The sequence below is a fragment of the Homo sapiens genome, chromosome 16 (genome assembly GCF_000001405.40).
Source record: "Homo sapiens chromosome 16, GRCh38.p14 Primary Assembly".
Lineage (NCBI taxonomy): Eukaryota > Metazoa > Chordata > Mammalia > Primates > Hominidae > Homo > Homo sapiens.
The window spans coordinates 30,015,702-30,028,320 of NC_000016.10; the positions used below are offsets into that span (position 1 = coordinate 30,015,702).

The 12,619-nt window shown below is 54.7% G+C and overlaps 3 protein-coding genes across 25 annotated transcripts in view; 1 reads left to right on the plus strand and 2 right to left on the minus strand.

Moving 5' to 3' along the window:
• Positions 1–7,527, minus strand: part of DOC2A (double C2 domain alpha) — a 17,715-nt gene extending 10,188 nt beyond the window's left edge. For 3 of the 5 annotated variants that reach the window (XM_047434807.1, XM_047434804.1, XM_047434803.1), the window contains exon 1: positions 7,293–7,527. The gene's annotated coding sequence lies outside the window, so the exon portion shown is untranslated. Of the gene's footprint in view, positions 1–5,481; positions 5,603–7,292 lie in introns of those variants that run through there. The other 2 variants (XM_047434805.1, XM_047434802.1) reach the window with 1 other exon arrangement.
• On the plus strand, positions 7,497–12,035 carry C16orf92 (chromosome 16 open reading frame 92). 8 transcript variants are annotated; one of them, XR_002957776.2, is made up of 5 exons: positions 7,497–7,703; positions 7,946–8,184; positions 8,295–8,385; positions 10,775–10,976; positions 11,387–11,485. XR_002957776.2 is itself a non-coding variant. In NM_001353379.2 (5 exons), the coding sequence occupies exons 1-5, from the start codon at positions 7,640–7,642 to the stop codon at positions 11,977–11,979; spliced, it is 471 nt and encodes a 156-aa protein (NP_001340308.1). In that variant the 5' UTR covers positions 7,497–7,639; the 3' UTR covers positions 11,980–12,035. The 8 variants fall into 8 exon arrangements, 4 of the variants coding, with proteins under 4 accessions (NP_001340308.1, NP_001103130.1, NP_001103129.1 ...); XR_002957777.2 differs by having other exon boundaries at positions 8,298–8,385; XR_002957778.2 differs by having other exon boundaries at positions 8,026–8,184.
• TLCD3B (TLC domain containing 3B) overlaps positions 8,726–12,619 on the minus strand; it is a 28,614-nt gene continuing 24,720 nt past the window's right edge. For all 12 annotated transcript variants that reach the window (XM_047434736.1, XM_005255614.4, XM_017023752.2 and 9 more), the window contains 3 exons: positions 10,908–11,142; positions 10,025–10,120; positions 8,726–9,766 (listed from right to left, as the gene is read on the minus strand). In XM_047434736.1, the coding sequence (XP_047290692.1) occupies positions 9,482–9,766; positions 10,025–10,120; positions 10,908–11,142 (616 nt within the window). In that variant the 3' untranslated portion in view covers positions 8,726–9,481. The remainder of the gene's footprint in view (positions 9,767–10,024; positions 10,121–10,907; positions 11,143–12,619) is intronic.

Consider the following 12,619-nt stretch of genomic DNA (forward strand, 5'->3'; position numbering starts at 1 on the left):
TTTTTTTTTTTTTTTTTGAGACAGGGTCTCACTGTGTTGCCTAGGCTGGAGTGCAGTGGCAAGATCATAGCTCACGACATCCTCGAACTCTTGGGCTCAGGCGATCCTCCCACTTTAGCCTCCCATGTAGCTGGGACTATAGGTATGCACCACCATGCCTGGCTAATCTGTTTTTGTTTGTTTGTTTGTTTTGTAGAGATGGGTCTTACTATGGTGCCCAGGCTGGTTTCAAACTCCTGGCCTCAAGCCATCCTCCTACCTTGGCCTCCCAAAGTGCTGGGATTACAGGTGTGAGCCAAAGACCATGCCCAGCACAATAATATATATATATATATATATATATATATATATATATTTTTTTTTTTTTTTTTTTTTTTAGACAGAGTCTCGCTCTGTTGCCCAGGCTGGAATGCAGTGGCACGATCTTGGCTCACTGCAACCTCCACCTCCCAGGTTCAAGCCTCAGCCTCCCAAGTAGCTGGGATTACAGGTGCACACCACCATGCCTGGCTAATTGTTGTATTTTTAGTGGAGATAGGGTTTCACCATGTTGGCCAGGCTGGTCTCGAACTCCTGACCTCAAGTGATCTGCCTGCCTTGGCCTCCCAAAGTGCTGGGATTACAGGCATGAGCCACTGCACCCGGCCAATATTTCTAAAGTAAAGGCAACCGTTAGGTTTCCTTCGTGGCTCTCCAGAATAAGAAAGGAAGCAGGACGAAGGGAGACACAGTGCAGTGTGAAAGCCGGTGAGTTTAGCAAGAGGGTGTCCATGACCTGGGCGCAGGGGGCCTGCAGTGAGGGGAGGGGGACACTCTGGTCAAGGAACCTGTCGAGTCCTCTCTCCTGTGCTCTCTTCCCACGGTGCTTGCTCAACCCCAGCCCTGCCTGCCTCCAGAAGAACTTGTTGAAGACAGGTAAGGATGAGGCTGGAGTTCAAGCCAATTTCAGAGGAAAATGATGGACAGTGCTGAGCCCTGCTTTGTCCAGAGACGGGAGGCTTTTGCACCAGTCACCCAGTCATTCAGTAAATATTGACTGAATATCGACTATAGATTGTGGGGATACAACCAGGCCCAAGGTCAATGAGCTGTGACTTCACAGCCTCATAGGGAAGACAGACAAATACACAGACAATCCCCATCCAGGGAAACTGACGTGGGGACAGGGGATGGTCAGAAGCCATGGGAACTCAGGGTCCTATGAGGTAGGAGGGAACAAAGATTAACACCTCACTTCCCAGAAAAGGAGTTGTCTCAACTGAGACCTGAAAGATGAGGAGGAGTTACCCAGGTCAAGCTTGGGGGCAAGTGTATTCTAGGCAGAGGTGTGTGCCAAAGCTGGGAGGCAGTCCAGAGTACGGCATATTCAGAAAAGAAATCATTCTACCAGCCTGGTCAACATGACGAAACCCTGTCTAAAAAAAAAAATTAGCCAGGAGTGGTGGTGTGCACTTGTAGTCCCAGCTACTCGGGAGGCTGAGGCAGGATGATCGCTTGAGCCCAGGAGTTTGAGGCTGCAGTGAGCCAAGATCAAGCCACTGTACTCCAGCCTGAGTGACAGAGTGAGACCCTGTCTCAAAAAAAAAAAAAAAGAGAAAAAGAAAGAAAGAAATCATTCCACCAAAAAGACACCTGCACTTGTGTGTTTATTGCAGCACTGTTCACAATAGGAAAGACACAGAATCAATCTAGGTGCCCACCAACAGTGGACTGGATAAAGAAAATGTGATATGTATATGCCATGGAATACTATGCAGCCATAAAAAAGAATGAAATTATATCCCTTGCAGCAACATGGATGCAGCTGGAGGCCATTATCCTAACTGAATTAATGCGGAAACAGAAAATCAAATACCACATGTTCTCGTAAGTGGGAGCTAAACATTGGGTACCTATGGACATAAAGATGAGAATAACAGACACTGGGGACTCCAAAAAAGGGGAGGGAGGGAAAGAGTCGAAAAACTACCTATTGCCGGGTGCGGTGGCTCATGCCTGTAATCCCAGCACTTTGGGAGGCCAAGGTGGGCGGATTGCTTGAGGCCAGGAGTTTGAGACCAGCCTGGCCAACATGGCGAAACCCCATCTCTACTAAAAATACAAAAATAATTAAGTGGGCTTGGTGGCATGCGTCTGTAATCCCAGCTACTCAGGAGGCTGAGGCACAAGAATCACTTGAACCTGGGAGGTGGAGGTTGCAATGAGCTGAGATCGTGCCACTGCACTCCAGCCTGGGCAACAGAGTGGGACTCTGTCTCCGGAAAAAAAAAAAAAAAAGAAAGAAAAGAAAATTGAGGCTGGGCGCTGTAATCCCAGCACTTTGGGAGGCCAAGGCAGGAGGATCCCTTGAGCCCCGGAGTTCAAGACCAGCCTGGGCAACATAGTGAAATCCTATTTCTACCAAAAAAAAAAAAAAAAAAAAAAAAAACTTAGCTGGGCATGATGACTTGATGATGCAGTCCCAGCTACTTGGGAGGCTGAGGAGAGAGGATTGCTTGAGCCTGGGAGGTCGATGCTGCAGTGAGCTATGATTGCACCACTGCACTCCAGCCTGGGCAACAGAGTGAGATGCTGTCTCAAAAAAAAAAAAAAAGAAAGAAAGAAAATTGAACCAACAGATCTTTTTATTCTTATCTTTTACAGATGGGATTCTCTGTCACCCAGCTTGGAGTGTAGCAGCACGATCATGGCTCACTTCAACCTTGAACTCCTGGCCTCCAGTGATCCTCCCACCTCGGCTTCCCAAATTTCTCGGATTACAGGCATGAGCCCCCGAACCTGGCCTAACAGGTCTCAATTTGGGGTTCATTAGGTGAGAGATAAGGAAGCAGGATGATTCCTAGGTTTCTGTGTTGAGCAGACCATCTAGAGGAATGATGGGACCATCCACTGAGACGAAAAGATGGGAGCAGAGCAGGTCTGGAGTAGGACTCCATTTGTGATCCATTGCCTTGGAGATGTATTTGGACATCACAAACAGACATCTCGGAGTCTGGAGCTCCAAGGAGAGGTCTGGGCTGGAAATATACATTTGTGAGTCACTGGCATATAGATGGTATTTAAAGCCACGAGTATGGATGAGATCACCTAGGCAGAGAATATAGATAGCAAGACAAGGCCCCATGCTGAGTTGGCTGGAGAAGGAGTCCTGAGAACTGGTGAGTGTGGTTCCAGGGCTCTGAGTCAGGGACAGGTGCACCTGCTGGGAGGCAGACGGAATGGAAAGAGAGAGAACCATTTGATTTGGCAGATTATGAGCTCTTTTGTGGACTTGATCAAAGCAGCTTCAGTGGATTGGTGGGGACTAAGCCAGATTAGAAGAGGTTGAAGAATTGGCTGGGCGAGGTGACTCATGCCTGTAATCCCAGCACTTTGGGAGGCAGAGGCAGGCAGATCACCTGAGGTCAGGAGTTTGAGACCAGCTTGGCCAACGTGGTGAAACCCCATCTCTACTAAAAATTAAAAAATTAGCTGGGTGTGGTGGTGGGTGCCTGTAATCCCAGTTACTCAGGAGGCCGAAGTGGGAGAATCGTTTGAACCCGGGAGGCAGAGGTTGCGGTGAGCCGAGATCGCGCCACTGCACTCCAGCCTGGGTGACTGAATGAGACTCCATCTCAGAAAAAGAAGAGATTGAAGAGTCCATTAAAGATGAGGGAGTGGAGACAGCAGGTGTAGATGACCCAGAGTTGCCCGTCTACTCTAGAATGATGCGCATCTATGAGTTCTCTCCCTTGTCATTCTTGAGGTCAGGGACCGTGCCGTGGTGATTTCTGAGTCATAAATGGAGTCCAGCCAGTGCGTAGCAGGAGCTCAGCACGTTTATGTCATGGATGAATAAATGGGTGAATGGATAATGCATTGTTTGGGTCAAAATGGCCTTTACTAGTAGAGATAGCTTAATGTTTTTGAAGCATTTGAGGAAACAAAAGAAAGTCAACCCCAAAGGCCATAGGTTCTGTGTCCCTTCTCCCAGCTAACCTCAAGGAGCAGTTGCCTGTGGGCCTGGGGCACGAGCCCTGGCCCAGCGTCGGGAACCAGGTTATTTATTTATTGAGACAGAGTCTCGAGTGTCACCCAGGCTGGAGTGCAGTGGTGCGATCTTGGCTCACTGCAACCTCCACCTACCGGGCTCAAGTGATTCTCCTGCCTCAGATTCCTGAGTAGCTGGGACTATAGGCACGTACCACCATGCCTAGTTAATCTTTTTTTTTTTCTTTTTCTTTTTGAGATGAAATTTCACCCTGTCACCCAGGCTGGAGTGCAGTGGCGCAATTTAGGCTCACCGCAACCTCTGCCTCTTGTGTTCAAGCAGTTCTCCTGTCTCAGCCTCCCGAGTAGCTGGGGCTACAGGCGCATGCTACCGCACCCGGCTTATTTTTGTATTTTTAGTAGAGACGTGGTTTCACCATATTGGTCAGGCTGGTCTTGAACTCCTGACCTCAGGTGATCCACTTGCCTCGGCCTCCCAAAGTGCTGGGATTATAGGTGTGAGCCACCGCGCCCAGCCTTTTTTTGGATTTTTAGTAGAGAGGAGATTTCATCATGTTGGGCAGGCTGGTCTCGAACTCCTGGCCTCAAGTGATCCACCCATCTTGGCCTCCCAAAGTGCTGGGATCATAGGTGTGAGCACCGCGCCTGGCCCAAAAACCACATTACTGAGTCCCTTCTGCTGCCTCTCACATGCCTTGTGGCTTTGGATAAATCCCTTCCTTTTTCTTAGAAGTGATCTGCATGGCGGCTCACACCTGTCATCCCAGCATTTTGGGAGGCCAGGGTGGGAGAATCACTTATGCCCAGGAGTTTGAGACCAGCCTGGGCAACATAGCAAGACTCCATCTCTGCAAAGAAAAAAAGAAGTAGGCTGGGCGCAGTCGCACACGCCTGTAATCCCAGCACTTTAGGAGGCCGCGGAGGGCAGATCACTTGAGGTCAGGAGTTTGAGACCAGACTGGCCAACATGATGAAATTCCGTCTCTACTTTAAAAAACTACAAAAATTAGCCAGGCATGGTGGCATATGCTTTTGATCCTGGCTACTCGGGAGGCTGAGGCAGGAGAATCGCTTGAACCAAGGAGGCAGAGGTTGCAGTGAGCCAAGATCGTGCCACTGCACTCCAGCCTGGGCAACAGACAGAGACTCCATCTAAAAAACAAAACAAAACAAAACAAAAAATAGGCAGGTGTGGTGGTGCACGCCTGTGGTCCCAGCTACTTGGGAGGCTGAGGTGAGAGGATCGCTTGAGCCCAGGAGGTCGAGGCTGCACTCCAGCCTGGGTGACAGATAGAGCAATATCCTGTCTCAAAAAAAGGGAAGCCATCAGCGCAGCACAGGGGAAGCAGCCCACGTGAGCCAGTCCCATAGATATTCGTTTCCCTCCTTCCCCACCCCCGCCCCGCTGCCCCCTTTTTTTCTCTCTCTGGGCTTTTTACTTGTTTAGGAACTCGAAGCGGTTCATGGCAAGTACCCCGAGTCCTAGCCCACCTGCTCTCTGCATAGGGTTGCGGCAGAGCACCTCACACGCGCAGATACACGCCTGGCTTTAGGGGAAGTCGCGGCACTGGGTCTGCAGAGTCCGCTGAGCACGCACCTTCGTTGTGAAACTAAGGAAACCCTGGAGTGTCCTTGGGCTTGGGTGGGATGGAACATGCCCGTGACAGACAGGCCCACCTGCCAATCAGAAGGGCGCTCTCCTTAGCTGGGATGGGGCCGCAGGAGTGGAAATGGCTGTTGGGAGGTGGCAGAGATGGGAGATGGGGTGGCCACGGGGGAGCCGCCGGCCACAGAAGAGGAAACGGAGGTGCAGGGAGCGGAGTCTGCGAAGGACGCGTGGATGGCCAAGAGATGTGCCTCGGAAAGGGCCGAGGGACTTCCTCTGACCAACCCCCGACGGCCATTCCCAGCCATCCGTTTTCCTGCAGCCGCGGATGCAACCTGTGGAAGAGGCGGGAGGAGGCCCGGGAGTCCGCCCCGCTGCGCCTTTCCTAGGGTGGGAGCGTGGACTCAGGCGCGGCCGCTGCTGCCACCTAGTGGGAGACGCCTGCTACTCCTCTCGGTTCCTAACCCCAGGGTCGTTCCCGGCTGAGCACTAAGGAGGGGGCGGGGGAGGACGGAGAGAGCCCTGTGCCCCTGGATCTGCGGATAGGATGCAAGGGGGAGCCTCAGAGAGGAACCCCCCCCCCAGGAAGTGTGCATTGCCCACACTACTTTTCCCCTCTGTGCCGTGATTTCCTCCCGTGTATAAGGGAGGCAAGAGTACCTGCCTCTGGGCTGGGCTTGGTGGCTCACGCCTGTAATCCCAACACTTTGGGAGGCCGAGGCAGGCGGATCATCCGAGTTCAGGAGTTCAAGACCAGCCTGGCCAACATGGTGAAACCCCATCTCTACTAAAAGTACAAAAATCAGCCGAACAGTGATGGTGCGCGCCTGTAATCCCACTCCAGGAGGCTGAGGCAGGAGAATCGCTTGAACCCAGGAGGTGGAGGTTGCAGTGAGCTGAGATTGTGCGTCTGCACTCCAGCCTGGCGGACAGAGTGAAACTCCATCTCAAAAAAAAAAAAAAAAAAAAAAAAAAAAAAGAGTACCTGCCTCTGAGGGTCAGTGCAAGAGCAAATGAACAAATTTGTGCAAGGTACTTGGCCATAAATGGGGTCCAGCCAGCATAGTAATAGGTGTTCAATAAATGCTACCTGCTGGGCATGGTGGCTCATGCCTGTAATCCCAGCACTTTGGGAGGCCGAAGCTGGAGGATCACCTGAGGCCAGAAGTTCGAAACCAGCCTGGGCAACATAGCAAGCCCTCATTTCTACAAAAAATGCAAAAATTAGCCGGGCATGGTGGCACATGCCTGTGGTCCCAGCTACTCAGGAGGCTGATGTGGGAGGATCACTTGAGGCCAGGAGTTCAAGGCTGCAGTAATCATACCACTGTACTCCAGCCTGGGTGACAGAGTGAGACCCTGTCTCTGAAAATACATAAAATAGGCCGGGCGCTTTGGGAGGCCGAGGCGAACAGATCACCTGAGGTGAGGAGTTCAAGACCAGCCTGACCAACATAGTGAAACCCTGTCTCTACTAAAAATACAAAAATTAGCCGGGTGTGGTGGCAGACAGATAAAAGGAAGGGATTTATCCAAAGCTGTAATCCCAGATACTCAGGAGGCTGAGGCAAGAGAATCACTTGAACCCAGGAGGCAGAGGCTGTAGAGAGCCAAGATGGCGCCACTGCATTCCCACCTGGGTGACAGACAGAGACCCTGTCTCCAAAAAAATGAAAATAAATAAAACAAATGTTACCTGTGGTTGATCCAAGGGGTAACCGGAGGTGTGTGGCCCTGTGCCACCACCCCAAATTGTGCCTGTTGTCCAAACACAGCTTCCTTTAGTTCGGGCTTTCAGCAAGATGGCCGTGCCGCATCCCTCCTCTTTGTAAATGCTGGGGCTGCCACCATTATGGTTTTATCATCAGCGACATTCCAGGGGGTGAAGACTGGTCCCAACCTCTCTTCTCCTCTCCTCTTCTGATGAGAGTGAGGGATGGGGGAGGGGTCCCAGCTCCTAGCACTTTCTCCCCTCACCCCAAAGTGCCATCAGAACAGCTCTGGGCTGTGACATCACAGAGCCCCCACCTCATGATAGGAGTCATGAGGCTGTGGCCATGGGTGCTGGTGTGGGTGTGGCTGGCTGCACTAGGGGCCATAGAAACTGGTAAGAAGCTGTCTTGGGAGCAGCAGGAAGGCAGGCAGCTCTGGGAGCATAAAGTGTGATGCCCACTTAGGGACTCGGAAGCCAACCCTGCACCCTCTCATTTTCTCTCCACTCTTCTCTCCCATCCTGCTGGTCCCACCTACCCCCCAACAACCGCGAGCCTTGTCGTGGTGCACCCAGCTGACCCTGAGGGAAATCAAGACCCTCCACAGCCTCTGCAATAAGGCTGGGTGGTCTCACAGGGTCCCAAGTCAGCTTCCGCCTCGAGAGATAAAGGCAGGGGTCAGCTTGGCTGTTGTCACAGAGTTTGCTTGGGTCCTAGCACCCAGACCCAAGCGTGCCACGGCGTCAGCCCTGGGGACAGAGTCTCCGCGCTTCTTAGACAGACCTGACTTCTTCGATTATCCGGACTCAGACCAAGCCAGGCTGCTGGCTGTGGCCCAGTTTATTGGAGAGAAACCCATCGTGTTCATTAACTCAGGTATGAACCAGCTTGAGAAGGGACCTCCCTCCCCGCCAGGGTCTGGAGGAGAGCAGCCCCAGACCCTTCATTGGGCCATCAGAGGGGAGTTAAGGGTCCTGTTTGTCTAGCAGGTTCCAGCCCCGGGCTCTTCCATCACATCCTGGTGGGCTTGCTGGTGGTGGCGTTCTTCTTTCTCCTTTTCCAGTTCTGCACCCACATGTAAGGCCTGCCCCCTTTCTCCAACCCCACCCACCACCACCTTCCTTGGGAGCGGCTGAAGACCCCAGTTCTAGCGGGGCAGGCTGTGACCTCTCCCCTCTGATCTCCATGCCCCACAGAAACTTCCAGAAAGGGGCCTAAAGAGCCGGACAAGGGCTCTGGACTCAACCTGAGCACCCACACCCACCTCCTCTCCTGTTGATGAGCAAAAGTTCCCTGCTTTCCTCCTCCCTGACTGCCCAGCGAGCAGCTGGGGATCCTGTCCCCTCTGTTTCCCATGGCCCAAGCCCCCCACCTCCTCCCTTCCCAGCCCCAAAGAACTTGGTGGCAAGGGCCTTGGTGGCGTTCACGCAGATCGTCTTTTATTAGCGGTCTGTAAAGCACCTCCCAGGGTCCCCCGACCCCAGATTGGAGGAAGCCTTGAGAGGTCAGTAGCACCAGGGACATGGCAGGGCCCGAGGGCGCGATGTGCAGCCGATGGTGAGGGACTGGGCGCCCTCGCCTGCCCCCGGGGTTGTCAGCACTGGGAAGGCTTGGGGGTAGCAGCCACCTCCTTCCCCCAACCCAACAGACTAGTTCAAATTTGGGTAAATAAATAAAATAAATAAGATTCCTCAAGCTGGCCTACCCTGGAGAGGAGCCGTGGTTGCAGCCGGCCACTCGGGAGGCCCGAGGGCCAGCGGGGGTTAGTTGGGGCGTCCTCTCCTCTCGGGTGATGGGGAGCCCTGGGGGATGGCAGCATAGGGGCTGGGATGGCCTTGGCAGAGGCGTCTCCCCACATTCTGACTCCTGGTCCCCTTGAAACCCTGTTGGTGTCCCTCCCCACAAGCCCTCCTGCCCTCAGTGGGTGGGAGGCGGTGCCCCCTCCCCTCCTCCAGCGCAAGGGTGTGCAGGAAGGGGGCAGAGTAGGGGGAAGAGGTCCCCTCTCTCCACCCCCTCAGTCCCCGAGAGATGGGGCCTCTTCCCTTTCGGGGTCATCGTCAGTCCTGGGGTTGTCCGGGCAAGAGGACCCTGGCTCCCAACCCCAGCCATCAGCCCCAGAGCCCTGTCTCCACGGGGGTGGGGGTGGGGAGGGGGAGGGTCCCGGCCCCCGGCCTCAGTCCTGGGCCTGGCAGGCCGGGGGCGGCCGGGAGCGGGGCCAGAAGAGGCGGCAGGCCCCACGGCAGATGAGGAAGAACCAGTAGAGCTGAGGGGCCAGGAGCAGCGCAGCGCCCAGGTTGACGTGGGCAGGGATGGCCAGGGGCACGGCCAGCAGGGGCAGGCCGGCATGGCGCCCGTAGGCCCAGTACAGGTAGGGAAAGAGCAGCACCCGGCAGCAGAGGAAGCTGAGCAGCATCAGGGCCCCGTTCACCTTGTGCAGCAGTGTGTGCTGCTGCTTGTACTGAGGAGACACAGACACAGTGGCCACGGCAGCAGAAGGGCTCGGCCCCCCTTGGCCCTCTCCCTGCCTCCCTGCGACCCTAGCAGGCAGCTCCTCCCAAACCAGACACTTTGCCAGGACACAAGCACCAGGTGCTCAAAATGCACGGGGTGAGGGGGGGATGACGAAGGGGCTAGAGCCCTTGGCAGCAACCTTGAAGGTCCCTCCCCTTCCTGTGACCTCCCCATTGGGCTCCTGCACCCTCCCATGCTCACTCACCTGGATGAGGATCTTGCCAAGGCAGACGAAGGGCGTGCTGACCTCTGCCATCAACATGCAACCCAGAAAGAAGTCTCCCTTACCCTGTCGCCACACCTGGGCACAGAGGCAGGAAGGTGAGGAGCTGGGGCTCTCCCTGGGTTCTTGGGCAGCCCCCGCCCTTCCTCTTTCCCCTCTGTCACTTTGGGAGATGCTTGACTCTGAACATCAGAACACCTGGGTGCAGGGCTGGGTGCAGTGGCTCACGCCGGTAATCCCAGCACTTTGGGAGGCTGAGGCAGGTGGATCACGAGGTCAGGAGTTTGAGACCAGCCTGGCCAACATGGTGAAACCCCGTCTGTACTAAAAATACCAAAAAAATTAGCCAGGCGTGTTGGTGGGCACCTGTAATCCCAGCTACTGGGGAGGCTGAGATGGGAGAATCACTTGAACTCAGGAGGCGGAGGTTTCAGTGAGCCGAGATCACACCACTGCACTCCAGCCTGAGTGACAGAGAGAGACTCCGTCTTGGAAAGAAAAAAAAGAGAAAGAACACCTGGGTGCAGGAGCAGGTGCATGACTTGGCTGCATCCCTCTCACGGTCCTGCAGAAAGACTGTGTCCCTTATGTAACAGGTGAGGAAACTGAGGCTCAGAGACGTGCAACCACAAATCCAAAGAGCCACAGCCGGGCATCGTCCAGCCCAGGGCCAGGCTGCCCCCACACCCTGGTGCCCTGGGCTGGTGCTCAGTGAACCCTGCCTGTCCACAGCTTTCCCTGGGAATACGCTGGGTCTGCTTGGTTGTCAGTACGCAGACCCGGGGCTTCCCAGGCTCCTGCCAGCACCAGCAGGACCAAGGAGCAGGCCACCCGCACCCCGCCCGCCCAGCTCCCCGGGACTCACCACTGAGAGTGGGAAGCACACCAGCACCATGGCGGCATGGTGGAGCACCATGAGGAACTCCTTGTGCAGGTAGCCACGCGCTATGGCCCACGTGCTGCCCGGGGCTCTGGCCGCTCCGTCGTCCCCTCCATGCCCTTTGACCTGGTGCTTGTGCCAGTGACAGAGGAACATGGCGTAGATGTCGTAGATGAAGTAGGGCACAGCAAATTGCGTGTAGGCAGAGGACAGCCAGTGTCTGTTGGGCAGAGAGACGGGGTGGGGGAGCAAGGAGGAAAGGGGACACCAGTGATTGGGGTCAGATCTCAGGGGTCAGCACAGCAGCCCTGGACAGGAGCGGAGTCTTGGGTACAGATGAGGGATCCAGAGGGTAGAGGGTGAGAAACTTGCCCAAGGTCACACAGTCATGCAGCTAGTAAGAGATGGTGCTGGGATTCAAACCTGTGGTCTCAGAACTCACCCATGTTCCTCTCTCTCTGCAGTATAGTCGGGGGAAAAGAAAAGACCAGAAGATGCCCACAGACCAAAAGGCACAGATACAGTGCCAAAATAAGCCCAGGACAGGCAGGTGGGACCTTGCCATGGTTATTTGTCCTAACCTTACCATGAGGTTAGGACCAGCAACAGCTGAAGGGGCGAGAGTGCTGGAGAGAGAGGTCACAGGGGTGGACGCCCATTCCTGCCTCCTGGGACAGGCGATCTTCCAAACTTCCCATGCATAGCCTTATTTACCCCTCCCAAAACCCTGTAAAAGGTAGGTGTGGCCATCATCCCCACTGTACAGGTGAAGAAGTGAGTCACAGAGGGGCTAGGTAACCTGGCCAAGGAAGGGACATGGGCGGTGTGGCTCCACAGCCCTCACTGTCATCCCCACCATCCCCAGAAGATCCGAGAGGCATCAGAGACAGACCCTGTTGGCAAGTGAGAGGTCTTGTCAGCGCTGTTCGCCCTGCCCCAAAGTCACCCAATCTCTTGTCTATTTTGTGTTGTTTTTCAGGGACAGCCAAGCGTTAAGGGGAAAATGCAGAGCAAAAGGAGCCAAGGACAAAGAAAGTTCCATGTACTTGGAGAGTAAACAAAAACGAGAAATGGATGAATAGACAAGACAGCATTTTTCTTCTGGAGTCAGCACATTGGCAGTTTCTCTTAAATCCTGTAGTCCCAAGACTGGCCTGGGGTGGGGGCAGGAGGTCAGAGAGGCAGGACCTGGGGTGCTCGCCCCACAAGGGGTGGAGGGATGAAAGCAGAGTCAGCCAGAAGCCATCACCAAACATGAGGCACGTGGAGGAGGCTGTGGAGAAGTTGGGGCTGAGGCCTCTGAGGATGGGGAGCCTGAGGCAGGCGGCCTGTGAGTGGAGCCAACCCATTCTCCAGCAGGGACGGTACCAGGGAAAAGGGAACCTGAGACTGGTGCAGTGGTGTGGAGCTGCGGCCCAGAGGCAGGGAAAGATGAGAGGGGAGGGGCAGCTGTAGAGAACGCGAAGCGGGAACACAGGGAGAGAGGTCCCAAGTGGCCTGGAGGAGTCAGGGCAGGAAGCTGCCCAGAATGCAGGCCCAGCAGAGGTGATGGGAGATGGGACAGCTGGGCTGGTGCAGGAGACCAGGAGGGGCCACCAGGCCCTGGGCTGTCATGTGAGGTGTTAGATCCCATCCCCACCCTCTTGGCAATTAGGTGCTCAGAAGTAGGAACAGCTGCTGCCCTGGATTAACCCGGA

Coding starts and splice junctions, on each gene's coding strand:
- C16orf92 (NM_001353379.2), top strand. CDS start 7,640: ATGAGGCTGTGGCCATGGGTGCTGGTGTGGGTGTGGCTGGCTGCACTA. Junction 7,704..8,025: donor ACTAGGGGCCATAGAAACTG/GTAAGAAGCTGT, acceptor CTTGGGTCCTAG/CACCCAGACCCAAGCGTGCC. Junction 11,469..11,901: donor CCAAAATAAGCCCAGGACAG/GCAGGTGGGACC, acceptor GTTGTTTTTCAG/GGACAGCCAAGCGTTAAGGG.